The following is a 15,752-nucleotide window of genomic DNA, read 5'->3' on the forward strand; positions in this document are numbered from 1 at the left end:
TTTTATAGATGATAAATTCATGATTAGGGATATTAATTATGATGTCCAAATTTGCACAGGTGGCAAATGATACATTTGAAATCTGAACCCACACAATCTAATTCAAGAGTTACATTGCCACTACTTCAAAAAATGTGGTTTATTTTATAGGCAAAGAAAAGGCACTGAATTGAATATTATGACTAAGCTTGTGATCTTAAAAGATTTAGGTTCTGAGTTGGACCTGATTAAAAATTCCAGCTCCACCAATTACTGATTACATGAACCTGGTGGGAGTTGTTCAGTCTTTCCATACTCCAGGTTCTTCCTTTTTCAACAGTGTTGCTGAGCCATTAAATGAAACAGCTTTATGTAGAAAGCACTCAGCATAGTAAAATCATTATAAATGTTAGCTATTACACACTTACTTCTCTCCTTTTCTGGAGGAAGGGAGAAGATGGGTTTTTATTTTACAATCTTATTTTATAAAACTATAAGCCTGGAGTCTAGGGGGTAATGTAGGAATTGAAATATGAAATGGTTCTGATCTAAGGTAGAAACATTAGATGGATGAAAGAATATCATGCCGATAGAATTAAAAATTGTTAGGTTGGAGTATTTTATGTGGGCTGAGAGTAAAATAAATCTACAATTTGTGTGAGTGGTAGAATGTGAAGCGATTAAATAGGATAGGGAATTGGAAGGGAAGTGCTAGGACAATTCCTGGCACATAGTAGGCATGCAACAAAAGGTTGGAAGCTTGATTGCTGTGATCTGTATGCAAAGATCATATGGTTGCATAAATGTGTTAATATTGTTCTTTGGTAAGTGTTTTCCTGGTATTTAAGTGCAATGGAGCACAAAGGTTTGTTGTCTAAAGTGTAATAATGAAAGGAATATGACCATTACTCCATCTGTCATTTTCACTCATGCCTTTAAATGAGCCCTTTGCTCCAATAAAATGGTTCAGTTAATGGTTCCTTAAAGCCACACACACTTACCTGTCTTTTTGCCTTTGATGAATTTATTGCTTAAGACTTTAGCCAGTATCTCTTTTTGCCCATTCTTTTTATCTGTATTTATTTTTATATGTTTTTTGAGATGGAGTCTCACTGTGTTACCCAGGCTAGAGTGCAGTGGTACGATCTCGGCTCACTGCAACCTCCGCCTCCTGGGTTCAAGCAATTCTCCTTCCTCAGCCTCCTGAATAGGTAGGATTACAGGCATCCTCCACCATGCCTGGCTAAGTTTTGTAATTTTAGTAGAGATGGGGTTTCACCATGTTGGCCAGGCTGGTCTTGAACTCCTGATCTCAGGTGATCCACCCACCTCGGCCTCCCAGAGTGCTGAGATTGCAGGTGTGAGCCACCATGCCCCGCCTCTTTTTGCTCATTCTTTAAAGTAGGAACTTTGGTAGAACTTTCACAGCCTGTAACATATGTCTCTAGCCCTAGCTTGGTTCTAAATCCCATGGTGCCTTCTCCTTGGGAAAAACAGAGAAGGCACTATGAGATTTAGAATCAAGTTAGGACTGCAGATACAGGTTACCTATGTTACAGGCTGACAGCCACAGGTATATTGCTCTCTGCACATGTGTTTTTTCCTGGCCTCTCAATGACATTATAAGCTTCTATTATACCTCATGTGGCGTAACTGCTCTGCAATAATAGAAATTCAATAAAGGACTCTTTAATTTACAATTAAAGTCAGGATTGAATTTTGTGGAAAATCTTGATGCAAATGTACAAAAGAACTTCAAGAAAATTAGAATGCCATGAGTCATGCATTTCCTGGTACTATTCATTCTTCTTTAGGTACTATCATTCTGCTCAACCTAACATTTCTACCACCTACACCTACCATCTGGAATTATAGGCAGAGGGTATGAAGGGTGTCAAATCTTGAAAGAAAATTGCCTTTTCTCCAAAGTTGATGAAACTAAACCACAGTTGATTGGATTACTTGCTCAGCAAGAGAGTAGAACCTTGTCTTTATGAATTAAATGTCACTATTTCGTCTATTTGAAGATGACCTTATAGAGGATCATGGCTTACGACAAGTTATTTTGCTGAGGCTTGAATTTGAATTGTGTGTTGGTGAATGAGGCACTGCACACACAGTCAGAGCAGCTGCTCTCCATGCAGCTTTTCTTCTCTTTGGTTTTCTGTATCATACACAGTAATCCTTGGGTGTTATTCACATCTACTTCTTGTGGAGTAATAGTATATTATAGTGGTATCATAAATTCGGGATTTATGAAAGTTGTGGGACATACCTTCATGTGAATCTCAGTGGGTTACTGTATTTAATGATTTTTTCTCTTTTGTTTTGATTAAGAAGCTCTTTGCTGGGATGCTGAGTTCCGATTTAAATATTATACACCCTTCTTATTTCTCTCTGCAAAATTATAGCCTTGCTGATGAATTTTGCTTTACTCTTGAGTGTGGTTTACTTTTGCAGCAAATACAAATTTAGTAAGTTAAATCTAAAAGCCACAGTTAAACACAGTTCTCCTTCAGAGGTAAGAACCATAACTGTTTCTGTGGACCCCAGCAATGGTACCTTCTTTTACAAAACAATGTTCTTCTTGTTCCATAGTCAATTACACACTGAACCTCTGTGTTATCTGAGATCTAAGCAGCAGGGCTGCTCTCTCCAGAATTATATTCAGCAGCTGTCTCCTCCCTGTTAGCTTACCCATTCCTGATGTGTTGATTCCTTTCAGAAGGCTCCAATCCAAATAAGACTTAATTAGCAGCAGCCTGAAAATAGTGTGTCTGCCTTTCTTTTCCTGTATAAATCTTGTGAGTGCTAAGCTTCTAATTTCACTTTCCTCTTAATACTAACTGAAGGTCCCATAACTTTCTGTGGAATGTTGACTTTTTTTTTGAGTGAGATGAGCTCTTCTCATGCCAGTTAACTCTCATGTCGGTGACAGCACAATGGAGAAATATTAGGAAATCTGACAGGGAGAAACATTCATGTCTGATAGAGTCCAGCAACAGATTAGTGAAAGAAACTGGCCGTCCAAAATCATCCTCATTCATTTCCTTCACTAAGTCAAAGAAATCATTGTGCTCTGCTTAAGCCCCATGCTGAGTTCATTTTACTGACCCTTCCTTAATATTGGCTGAAGGGTATTTTTAATAACTTGGTATGTTTGGGAGTCAAAGGAGGCCAAGTTTCTGGCTAGGCTCAGAAGGGATAAAATAGTAATGGAATGTTTGGGGAATGAGAGGGAAAAAAAATGCCTAAAAGAAAGGTACCTTCTTTTAGACCTGTTTAATATAACTCCCCTAATTATTTCTGAAGTAGGGGAAAAAATATACAAAACCCTCTGAGGAATATCAATTTTTAAACATTACAGCCTTGAGTGAGCCACTTCAAAATGTGCAGAGAATTGGCTTATATTTTATTTGGAAACTAATGTTTAAGTCAAATGGAGCAACAGAAATCCATAGTAATCTATCCAAAAAAGAAAGACCAAAGGATTGGGAATAGGTCAGGGTGCAGTCAGGAGAGCCAGGCGAGGGATGGCAGTCAATGGAAGCCAAGCTGGCCCAGTCAGTCTGTGGGCATGTGAGCTGAATCACCAGTGTGGGGACCACTTTCCCGTAAGAAGCCCTGTTGTAATTGATCCTGTCTCCTGAGCCTCCCCGGCTGCCACTGGACATTGCAGGTTTGGCTTCCTGGCTATTGGTTTTGCAGTCAGAGGAGTTCAGTTCAGTTTAGTGTGTTGAGTATGAGCAAAGCAGTATGAGCCGTGAGGTATCAGGATGAGTGTGTGACTGCCTTCTCTTCTCATGTGTCATCTGTGTGAATTCTTCCCATGTATCAGCCTCTTCTAAGACGTGACCTTAACTAGTCCAGTTCCTGGTGCTCTGACCTCTCTCAAGCTACTTCACTCAGAGTGCTGATCAAATGGTTTGGAACCACAGTGTTAGCTATGTCCTTGTTCCATTTAGTCTGTAAATCCACTGAGGATGTATCTTATACTTCTTTTGAAATACACTCCGCCATTAGCACATTGAGGAGCACTACTAGGGGTTTAATTGACACCTGTTGATTGACTGGTACGTTAATTAATGTAGGGCCTTATAAGCATGTCTTCCAGAGACGTTTAAAAACTTTTATTCAAATTGTATATAACATCTACTTGACAAACATTTTTAGTAAACGTGATAATGTAGAAACAGAATTATTCCCTGTAAAATATTATTCATTTTAGTAATTTGAGATAAAGAGTTATTTGCTCACTAGATTTTATTCACTTGGCACCTGTTTATTAAGTGCCTATGGTGTGTCATAAGCACTGATGATGTAATTGAGACCTAATAATAGCCTAGGAAAGTATGAAAAAATATGAATATCTTCAATGTTGGTTCTTTCAGGCCAATATTTTTAAATGACTCATTGGTAGCAAAACATCACTTTTTTTTTTTTTTAACGAGCAGATATTTATAACTGCTACCAAAACCAGGAATAGTTTACTAAATATGGGGGTTTGAAGATATTGTCTTTAGCTGGGAAAAGCTTCCAGGCTACAAGAGAGGATAAAGACAGTGAGTAACATTTGAGATGTACTTTATTTCATTACCTAACAAACACCTATCCAGCACTCACAATGGACAGGCTGTCTTCCAAGCAGGAAAAGATTATGGAGCATATGCTGTACATATGACCTCATTTAATCACTATAGTAAGTCTATAAAGAAGGTACTATTATTATCCTCCTTTTTAAAATAGGGAACTTGAAACTCTATTTTACAGTTAAAGTTCAGAGAAGTTAAGTATTTCACCCAAGGTCACACAGCCTGTGCGGTGGAGCTTCTTGCAAGAGTATTTTGGCCCTTTATAGGATAGAGAGATTAATTCCAACCAGGGAAAGAAGGGAATAAAGTAAGCCCCAGGGAATGGATGCTGTTTCAACCGGGTTAAGATTGGTTTGAAAACTGGTTAAGATTGGTCTGTTTGCAAATATGGGGCAGTCAAGAATATACCCAGAGAAAGCTATTCCACAAGGGACATAAATGTAAGATATTAACAAAATACCATTCTCTGTCCAACATTAAAATTTTAGGAAGATACATCCTCCTCTATTCTTTTCTCTCAAGGACTTCCCAAGTTTCCGTGCAATGTTTGCTTTAATTCTTTTAATATGAATAATACAATATGTTTTACATGGCACTACCACTTTATTTAAATCTCAAGATTTTCTAAGAGTTAAATGTTCACTGCTAGTCTTCACAGCAATCATCAAACAGGCCTATTCAGTTTAAGATGGCCTCATGTGTGCGCTGTCAGTGACATCTGCCAAAACCATGTCTTATTTGTGAGAAATGCCCCTTGTCTCTGCTTGATGGAAAACTGATCAGCCTCTTTTACTCTTTCAACTCAATGATTAGCAATTACTGCTAACCTAGAAAACTTCGCTGGATATTTATTTAAAAATTCTCGTCTTACTGGGCATGATGGATCTTATTTGCTTTTTAATATAAACAGTGAAAGTATAAATACATTCTTACTTTTTGGAGAAGATAATAATATTAAATTTAATTTTTGTCTCCAGTGTTATTGCATTTTTCTAACAGAAAAACTAAATAAAACATATCTTTAGAATTTAATTCTCTTTAAGATATCACAAACTATTTTTCAATTTTAAAATAAAACTATATCTATATATATATACACACACACACACACATACATATTTGAGACAGAGTCTCACTCTGTAACCCAGGCTGGAGCGCAGTGGTGTGATCTCAGCTCACCGCAACCTCCACCCCCAGGTTCAAGCAATTCTCCTTCCTCGGCCTCCCAAATAGCTGGGATTACAGGCACCCACCACCATGCCCAGTTAATTTTGGTTTTTTTAGTAGAGATGGGGTTTCGTCATGTTGGCCAGGCTGTTCTTGAACTCCTGACACCAGGTGATCTGCCCACCTCGGCCTCCCAAAGTGCTGGGATTACAGACATGAGCCACCGTGCCCGGACAAAATATTTTAAAACATTGTAAATGATCATTGGGTTTCAGTGGTCCAAATCAGAATTTTCTTTGGAAGAAAAACATTAAGAGAAATACACTAATAAAAATAAATCAGTGTAAGCACTTGAAAATTAGTTAGAAAAGATGCGTAGAGATACCTTGATATAGTAAATATCATATAGTCACGTAATATTAAAAAATCAATTTGAAAACATTACATAGAATCAAATATCTCTAAGGAAAAATCATGTGAACAACTGATGTAATAATTAAGTTGAATATCAAAGGATGATGTAAAATCTATTTTAATCATATACTAGGGATTGGACTTTCTGATAAGACCCAGAGACACTTTATTTATTTTTATTTTTTTATTTTATTATTATTATACTTTAAGTTTTAGGGTACATGTGCACAATGTGCAGGTTAGTTACATATGTATACATGTGCCATGCTGCTGTGCTGTACCCATTAACTCATCATTTAGCATTAGGTATATCTCCTAATGCTATCCCTCCCCCCTCCCCCCACCCCACAACAGTCCCCAGAGTGTGATGTTCCCCTTCCTGTGTCCATGTGTTCTCATTGTTCAATTCCCACCTATGAGTGAGAACATGCGGTGTTTGGTTTTTCGTCCTTGCAATAGTTTACTGAGAATGATGATTTCCAATTTCATCCATGTCCCTACAAAGGACATGAAATCATCATTTTTTATGGCTGCATAGTATTCCATGGTGTATATGTGCCACATATCTTACAGATGAAGAAATGGGGGACCAGAAGTTTGTCACTTCCTTACGTCACATTACTTGTAAGGGGTAGAGAGAGCAGAGCTAGTGCTTCAACCCAGGGCCAGAATCAGCAAGGCCATTCTTTCTATGTGCTGCTAGAAAATGAAGACTTTGTCATGGTGCATTCAGCAGCTCTGATCAACTGGTAACTTGTCAGTTGGACAGATCCTATTTTCCAGAGCCTTACTGAAGGTCTGGGGATGGAGTGAGTCACAGGACTGAGCTTGCATCCTATAGGAGCATAATCACCCCTGGAAAGATAGCCCTTCAATTTTAGGGCAATAGCTATGAGACTGCTACCCTAGTTCTTCCAAAAGTAGAGTTTCAGAGCACAATGGCACTCTTCTCCCACCACCAAAATTTTCATTTTAGAAAAAGAACAGTAACCTTTAAGGATAGGCCTCCTATCCTGCTTTATACATTTTCAGAAATGCCCTTGAATTATATGTATACTTTTGTGGCTTGACTTACTAACTTTCCTTTTTGTTGGCTTCCTGCACAGAAAAGCTGTTGGGGGTGACTGGTAGATGCATTTGTTAAAGGGCTAATTTACAAGAGACCACTTTACTGGAAAGGGTGCCTCTCTCCAAATAATAAGTAAATAAATAACTTTTTCCAGAAAAATCCTCAAAAACAAAAACTTTCTAAGACCTGTTTACCTTGCAGAAGCCTTTCAATTGGCCTTTAGGGCAGCATGAACAGAATGTTCTATACCTTGAGTGGTCCATGCACTCAGGAGAATGTGCTGATTTCAGCGTCTTCCTTATAGCCATGTGAACACCAAAATAGGATTCCTTTTTCCTCTGCTCCAGCTTTCTGGAGCAATTGTTTTGACTGTTCAAAAGTGTAACATTTTGCTTTGTTTTATGTTTTTCTGGATAAAAATATCATTTTCTTCCTAGAGAATTTGACTTGCTAAGCACATATCTTGTGAATTAATATCACGTTCCTGATATGGAGGGCTTTTGTAATCAGAATAACTATCACACACCACAGAGGAATAAGAGGTTGAATATGTTCAATTTCTGTCTGACTATTGGAAGCCTCAGGTCATCACTTCTTGGAGGCAGTCCTGAGTAGATGCAATAGACACTAAGGCAAATATTATGTGTACCATATGACAGTTAATTCTTGGAATAGCTCTGGAAAGTAGACATTATATGACCATTATTTTACTGAAGACAATGCTACAGCAAGGATGATTTAGTGACTTATTTAGGGCCTCACAGTAACAGAACCTGGATTGAAATTAAGTTTGGTCTGAGTCAAAGTCTGCTTTCTTTTCATTCCATTACACTGGATAGGCTTGAGAGTATATTGCAGAGAGAATATGGCATTTGTACCCAAATTTCATAGTTGACTTACATTTGGGGCTTCTTTTTGAAATTTTGGTTTCACAGGCGAGAATGACAAGTTGCATATCAGAATTCAAGAGTGAGATTTGGGCTTGAAAATCACCTATTTGAGATTGATATGCATATTTCCCTCTTCAACTTTCCATATAAAGCCAGGCTTTTACCCAGTATGGCCTTGGTTGTACCCCTGTGTAGTTCTGGGAGTTTCCATAGTTGATATGTGTATGTTGGAGGGGAGGCAGAGAAAATAAACATGTCCATTCTGAATGCCTTTTCCTGTGAGAGATGCTAATCGGCTTTCTCTCTCTCAGGAGTATATGTTCAATGTCTGGATGTTTTCAATGTCTGGATTAATTCAGCCGTCCAGGAAAGAAGTTTGTGCTTTGCTCTCCATGGACAACATCTAGTAAAGGAGACTTAGTCTCATCGTTCTTCTCTGAGGAGGCAGGATTCACGACCAACTCATCCCATTGAAGACAATATTAGCAGAAATTATAAAAGGAGCTTACAGAGTATTTTGCAAAGTTCATTTACTTACATTGCCAAAAGTTATGTGATTTTACTAAATCCCTCAAAACTCCTCTAAGGAAGTTGAGAATATCTCCATTTATCCATTGAAGAAACTTCAACTTAGAAAGTTCAAAGGGATTTGTTTGAAGTCATGGAGTCTAATGGCTCCCACTCAAGGGTTCTTTTGTCTGCTGTACCATCTTCCACCTGCTGCCTTACACATTTCAGAAGTGTGAAAATGGGGAGCAGACTGTTTCTCCTGGATTCTGAGTATCAGTTGCCCCCTTCCTGAGTTAGAGAAATATCAACAAACTTGCAGTTTGTATAAGAATTCGATACTTAATGATAATGCATTATTATACAGTGTTAATATATTATATATTATTAATATAATGCATAACTACTACACAGATATATTTATGCACATGCATACACACAATCCCTTTATACCTCCTGTTTTCCAGGTAAAATGAGAGTTTACATTTATTGAGTGTTTACCATGTTCCAGATACTGCCCTTAGCTTTTCAACATAGAAAAGTATTATTATCTTAATTTTGTAGAAAAAGAAGCTGAGAAGACTGTGGAGGTTAAGTAACTTGCCCAAGGTAATGCAATCAGTGGTGGCACCAGGATTTGACTCCAAGATGATCTTTTCCAGAACGTTTGCTACTAAACACTCTGTTTTATTGACTCTCCTTTGCTTATTTCTGATCGTGGTGGTGAAAAGTGGAGTTCTTTTTTCTAGTAGAATGGTGCTTCAATATTTCACATGTAACTTGCATTTTCCTCAAGTTCATGTTTATTTTTGAGTTCCTGGTCTCTGAGTTTACTCACCTTTTATTTAAATATGTAAAGTAGAGGCTGTCCCGAGTAGAGGCAATAAGCATTAGACCAAATATTCTATGTACTTTATGACAGTTAATTTTTGAAATAGCTCTGATGAACATAAAACACCAGAGACTGAAATATATTCTATATTATTTATATTTGTCCATCTTTTATAAAGTTTTATGCTATACTTTTGAGGTACTCTAAATAATTTTAAGAACTTAATTTTTCTGTGTATTAAGAGCAGATTAATATAGCCTCAAGGAAAGAAGAGATTCCCTGAGAAAGAAAGTCTATTTTATCTCATTTTGTTTCACCAAGTTTTTGGTTGTCAAAATTCAGGTATTCAGTAAACACAAATGTAGATTATGTCTATTGAGCTCCACCTTTTAGTTTATTTCCCTCTTAAATCAAATAAAAGTAATTTGAAAACCAAATAAGAAAATGAAACAATTAACAACTGGGAATTCAAGTACCTAAGGTACATTAAATATGTATGTGCTAACTTATCCCATGGAGCTTTGCTACATCTCAGAACTTGTCAAAATGAATTCCTTTCCCTTGCACTCCTGTACCATTTTTTCGCTTTATTACATTACTTTATATAGATTACTTGTAATTTCTGTGAGTAATTGTGGTGGCAGGGAAACTGGTTAAGTACAGAGGTGCTTAAAGTGTTGACTTTTTGCTTAGCTAGAAACAGGTCTCTGCCTGTTTCACTATTTAGTCTCTGGTGATCATGCACAAGCCATTTAACTTCTTTATATTTCAGTTTCCTTGTATGTTAATAGGCCTATTGATACTAACTACATTGCAGGGATTTTGCAATGATTAAATTACATATTTCATAAAAAGCACATGGGCCTATTGCTCAGTAAGCAGTTAGCTGATGTTATTGTTAATATCCTTTCATTCTTATTCTCATCTCTTGATTTCAGAGGTTTGTTGCCTTTTTCCTGAGCAAGGTAATAGCAGGGCTATTACATTAGCCTTCTCACTGGTCCCTAACAATCAGTAGTCAGTGTGTGGCAAGGAAACTAGATCATGTGAGATATTTTATCAGAAGTGATTTAATATAGAAATTGTTCAAGTAGGTTGAGGAGAGGTGCTAGAAAAATAATACTAGAATAACACAGAGCCAATAACTGCAAGAAGCAATTGCACATTTAGGGTAAATTAAAGGGAAAAAGTGGGGTTTTAGGACCGGCAAGCTCAGATGAGACCTCACTGAACTGGAACCCAGTCTTCTGAGGAGGTGGTATTATCAAATTTTGGCAAGGAGCTGAGACCTTTGAGGAGGGGGCACCACCAACTGGTGCTGGTGCTGACGGTATGATGAGGCTTGTTCTGGGAGTGTAGAGAAAGCTGGAAAGTGGGACCAACTGCTGCTGCCCATGTGAAGTTCTAATCCTGGGGTAATGTAATCAAAAAGACAGCCAAGCAGGAAGGGGTAAGTTCCTTCTCCCTCTCTTGCCTTCTTGCCTCCCCCAGGGCTTCTTCTGGCAGGTATGAACAGTCTTCCAGTTGGTCAAGTGCAACAAATGTAGTCTGCTGAACCATGAGGTCTGCATCAGAAAACAAAGAACAGAAGGATGGGTTTAGAGATAAGAGGCAATATCTTAGTAACCAACACAAGTGTCTTTCAAATCCCAGTCTCTTTCATAAACTCCTATTGGATTAAATAATCAACAGAGTGAACAGAGAGCCTACAGAATGGGAGAAAATACTTGCAAACTATGCATCCAACAGAAAACTAATATCCGGAATTTACAAGGCACTCCTACAACTCAGTGACAGCAAAAACAACAAAAATAACCCCATTAAAAAGTGGACAAAGGACATGAATATGTATTTTTCAAAAGAAGATATACAAATGGTCAGCAAGCATATGAAAAATGCTTAACATCACTAATCATCAGAAAAGAGCAAATTAAAACCACAATGAGTTAGCATCTTATACCAGTTAGGATGGCTATTACTAAAAATACAAGAAATAACGGATGTCGATGAGGATGCAGAGAAAATGGAACACTCATACACAATTATTGAGAATATAAGTTAGAACAACCTCTATGGAAAACAGTTTGGAGATTTCTCAAATAACTACAAATAGAACTACCATTCAAACCAGCAATACCACTACTGGGTATCTACCCAAAGGAAAAAAAAATTGTTATATCAAGAAGATACCTGCATTCATATGTTTATTGCAATACTATTCATAATAGCAAAGATATGGAATCAACCTAACTGTTCATCTACAGATGATTGGATAAAGAAAATGTGGTATACATATGTACAATGGAATACTATTCAGTCATAGAAAAGAATGAAATTGTGTCTTTTGCAACTACATGGATGGAACTGGAGGTCATTGTCTTAAGTGAAACAACTCAGAAACAGAAAAATACTGTGCGTTCTCACTTATTCATAGGAAGTAAATAATGTGTACACATGGGCATAGAGTGTAGAATAATAGGCATTGGAGACTAAAAGGTGAGGGAGTAGAATTGGGGGTAGATGTTGAGAAATTACCTAATGGGTATAATGTACATTGTTCAGGTGATGGCTACTCTATAAGGCCAGACTTCACCACTACACAATATATCTATATAACAAAATTATACTTGTACTTCTTAAATTTAAACCCCCCAAAAATTTCCTACAGTATCACTTGGAACACAGCTCTCACCTGCTCCAATATCTTCATGTCCTATTGAGCAAAGGAAATTCAATACACACTTTTTAAAAAAGAACCTATTATGAACATTGTGCTCTGGGCTATGGAGGATATAGACATGAATAAGAAGTTTTTCTGTCCTCACACAGTTTAATGAAGAACAAGGTTAACAGAAATCATTCCATAGCAAACGCAGAAAGTACTTAGAAGGAGGAATGTGTCCTGGCTGGTGAGATTCAGGAAGAGTTCATGGAAGGATAAGTAAAAATTCACATTCAATAGTGTGGCCTCTTATACTTGGCTGACTTTTCACTATACCCATATTTTTATTTTTTTATTTTTTTGCTACTATGTAACTATTTCCTGTTTAGCCTTCAGTGTTTATTTTCTGTATACTTTTTTTCTCATGCCAGTCACTTAGACATATGGCCAATGTTACTGAGTGCCTTCTATGGGTGCTTTCAGCTAGTTGTAAGGATACAACATTGAACAAATGAGACAAGGTGCCCCCATTATGGACCTTGCCCTCTAGGTGGGTAGGCAGTTCTTAATATTAAAAGGTCACCCAAATGAATGCAAAGTTGCACATTTTGGTTGGTGCTGGGAAAGACAGGTGCAAACTGCTATGCTAGTAGGGTGATCAGGTTTCATTCTGGAGTCACAAATGGCTTCCCTGAGGTATAGGTGTTAGGTTAGGTTGAGTCAAGAAGGCTGTTTCCAGCCTGTGCAGATCTCGGAACAGAAGAAGCAGAGTATGCATCTGAGGAAAGGTCACTATGGGTGCAGAAAAAGGGAATGAGGAGTGTGTACAGCACTTTTCACACAGTAAGCATTTCTCAGGGTCAGGTTCAAAAGGCACCTCCTCCATGAAGCCTTTCTTAAAATACTTGAACACTAAAAAGATCCTCCCTCTTTTTAGCTCTTAACCATTGTGTATCTCTCATGAGGGTGTTTATTACATACTGCCTTGGTTTGTGATTATTTATGTGCAAGTTTGATTGTCTGTGCTCAACTGTAAGCTTCTAGAAACCATAATTTGTCTCATATCCATCTTTGTATCCTTCAGTGTCATGAGTTCTTAAAAAATATTTGCTGAATAAGGTCACTTCCTCAGTATGCCTGCTGGCACTTAGATGGTGTGTTCAGTTACATGCAACAGTTTAGTGTAACTGTTTCTTTCATTCATTGTCTCATATTACTAACTGACTTGTCCGTGGAGAACATTGGCAGTTGATTGACATTTGTGTATAACAGGTGAAGAAGTATTCACTGGCCCACTTTGGGAAAGACAGAAGTATGGAATTTGAGGACCGGTACCTTAGATCTCTATGAATCACAGTGAATGGCTGCTTAACCAAAAGTGTTCATAAATCTGTAGCATTGCAAAATGTAGGTTCAACCAACCAAATTTGCTTTATCTTTTTATTTCACCATCTGTGTTGGCTTGTTCTGATTTCCATGTCATTAGACAAGGAGAAGATGATCATCTTCCCGTAGCTAAACACTTGGATTCCATCAGAGGTTCTTCTGAAAAGTAAACATACTATGGAAAGGAGGGCCTGGGGGAAGCACCACACCTGTAGGCCTTCTTTCTGTTATTTTTTTTTCGTGGGGGATGGTGTTTCACTCTTGTTACCCAGGTTGGAGTGCAATGGCATGATCTTGGCTCACCGCAACCTCTGCCTCCCGGGTTCAAGTGATTCTCCTGCCTCAGCCTCCCTGGTAGCTGGGATTACAGGCATGTGCCACCACACCCGGCTAATTTTGTATTTTTAGTTAGAGATGGGTTTTCTCCATGTTGGTCAGGTTGGTCTCGAACTCCTGACCTCAGGTGATCTGCCCGCCTCGGCCTCCAAAAGTGCTGGGATTACAGGTGTGAACCACTGCTCCCAGCCCTTCCTGATATCTTCTAAGTCTCTTTGCAACAACCTGAGTGGACCCATTCTCCTGTGCTCAGGACCTAGCTCTAGGTATTCCCTTATCTTTCTTAGAATATGGTCATTCACTGGCATCTATGATGGAACAGAAAAATAGCTGGAAAATGAAAACTACAAAACTCTCACTCAACATTATTTTACAATAGTGTAGGAGTTAATAGTTGTGGCAGAACTGCATCTTCTAAGGAAAACTGCGCTATGACAAACAGCCCCAGAGTGAGAGGCAGTCAACTCACTGTCAGGGTGACCCATAAGTCCTAATGGGTGGGAATGATCATTATATGAAGACTATAAATCTGATTAATGTGCACTCTGAGATGAGGTATAACATTTCATGCCAAATGAGGTAGGGGTAGGTGAGAAAGGATGATAGAAACAGCTGGTTCTGCACATGTCTGAAGGACCATAGTAAAATTACAGTGACATAGAGAGATAAGTAAACAAACATAGGGAATGTTCAGATGGATATATGTGTGTGTGTGTGTGTGTATTTCAGTGTTTATATAAACATATACCTAAACTTATTTATAGACTCATAGCTGATGAATGAACCTTCACAAATATACTATTTCCAGTCCCCAAGTAGTGGGGTACACAATTTTATTCTCACTGTAAAAGCTTATTCTTTGGTAGGACATATTGCCAAATTTTTCACTGTGGGACTAATCTGGAGGCCATACGGTGACATTTAATTTATGGGCAATATTATCTAACAGCATTCCTTTAGCAGTTGGTAATTGTAATGTTTCATTATCTCAGTTTAGTTTTGTCATAATCTTGTGACATGGGCTGATATCATTATTCCACATTGATAAAGAAAGATATTTAAAGACAAACACAATTCCCATTAAGTTGCAGTGTGTGTGTGTGTGTGTGTGTGTAGGGTGTGTGTATGTGGGATTGTTTTTGAGTCATATAGGACATTCTTCCTCGTAACTGATATTCTGGATTAAATTTTAATTTGTGGAGTCTTGGGCAAAGTCTAAACCTAAATAATGTTTGGGAAGAGGGGCCATAACCTGAAAATCTGTGTCAGATTGGCCCTATAAGAGAGAGGTGAGCGTACTGGATTCTGGCTTCAATACATCTATTCCCCTTTCTAGATGAGTAAAGAGTAAGATACAGTTCTACCCTTCCTTTTCCCTCTCTCCTCTCCTATTCAGAGTCTATTCTATCTTATTTCACTTTGTTTTTATGGATGAATTTTACTGCAAAGGGTAAAGTCCAGCCTGCCCTTTGTCAAGAAAGATTAGACCTCATTATCTGTCCTCATTTCTCAAAGGCATGAACCAGGAACAATCAGAGTAACTTCTTTGGACCTTCCAGCACGAGAAAGAAGTGTTCTCTTCCCTATAGGTTAAAGACTGAGATGGAAAAGAAATAAAACAAATGCTTCTTGATTCTGACTTTTGTAGTATGTAGCCCTGCTATATATACAGTTGTCCCTTGGTATCCATAGGGGGATTGGTTCCAGGACCCAGAGCGGGTACCAAAATTTGCAGATGCTCAATTCTCTAAATAAAATAGCATAATATTTTCATATAACCCAGAAACGTCCTCCTGTATACCTTAAATCATCTCTAGGTTACTTATAATACCAAATAAAAGGCCTACATACCACTTCATTCTCATGGATTCAGTGTAGTACTTGGCACACGGCAAATTCAAGTTTTGCTTTTTGGAAT

The 15,752-nt window shown here is 37.9% G+C and overlaps 1 protein-coding gene and 1 non-coding gene across 6 annotated transcripts in view, besides 1 other annotated feature; both read left to right on the top strand.

Moving 5' to 3' along the window:
• Positions 1 to 15,752, top strand: part of PRKG1 (protein kinase cGMP-dependent 1) — a 1,307,463-nt gene that overhangs the window by 307,259 nt on the left and 984,452 nt on the right. The gene's annotated exons all lie outside the window — the stretch shown is intronic.
• MIR605 (microRNA 605) lies at positions 1,427 to 1,509 on the top strand. The gene has a single exon (NR_030336.1). It is a non-coding gene; the product is annotated as a microRNA 605 (primary transcript).
• Positions 8,571 to 9,072: an enhancer, noted in NCBI's record as "NANOG hESC enhancer chr10:53066477-53066978 (GRCh37/hg19 assembly coordinates)". NCBI's record gives its function as "activates a minimal SCP1, AML or CMV promoter by ChIP-STARR-seq in primed H9 embryonic stem cells {active_cell/tissue: H9 hESC(primed)}" and the evidence as "EXISTENCE:reporter gene assay evidence [ECO:0000049][PMID:30033119]".

Source organism: Homo sapiens, chromosome 10, assembly GCF_000001405.40.
Source record: "Homo sapiens chromosome 10, GRCh38.p14 Primary Assembly".
NCBI lineage: Eukaryota > Metazoa > Chordata > Mammalia > Primates > Hominidae > Homo > Homo sapiens.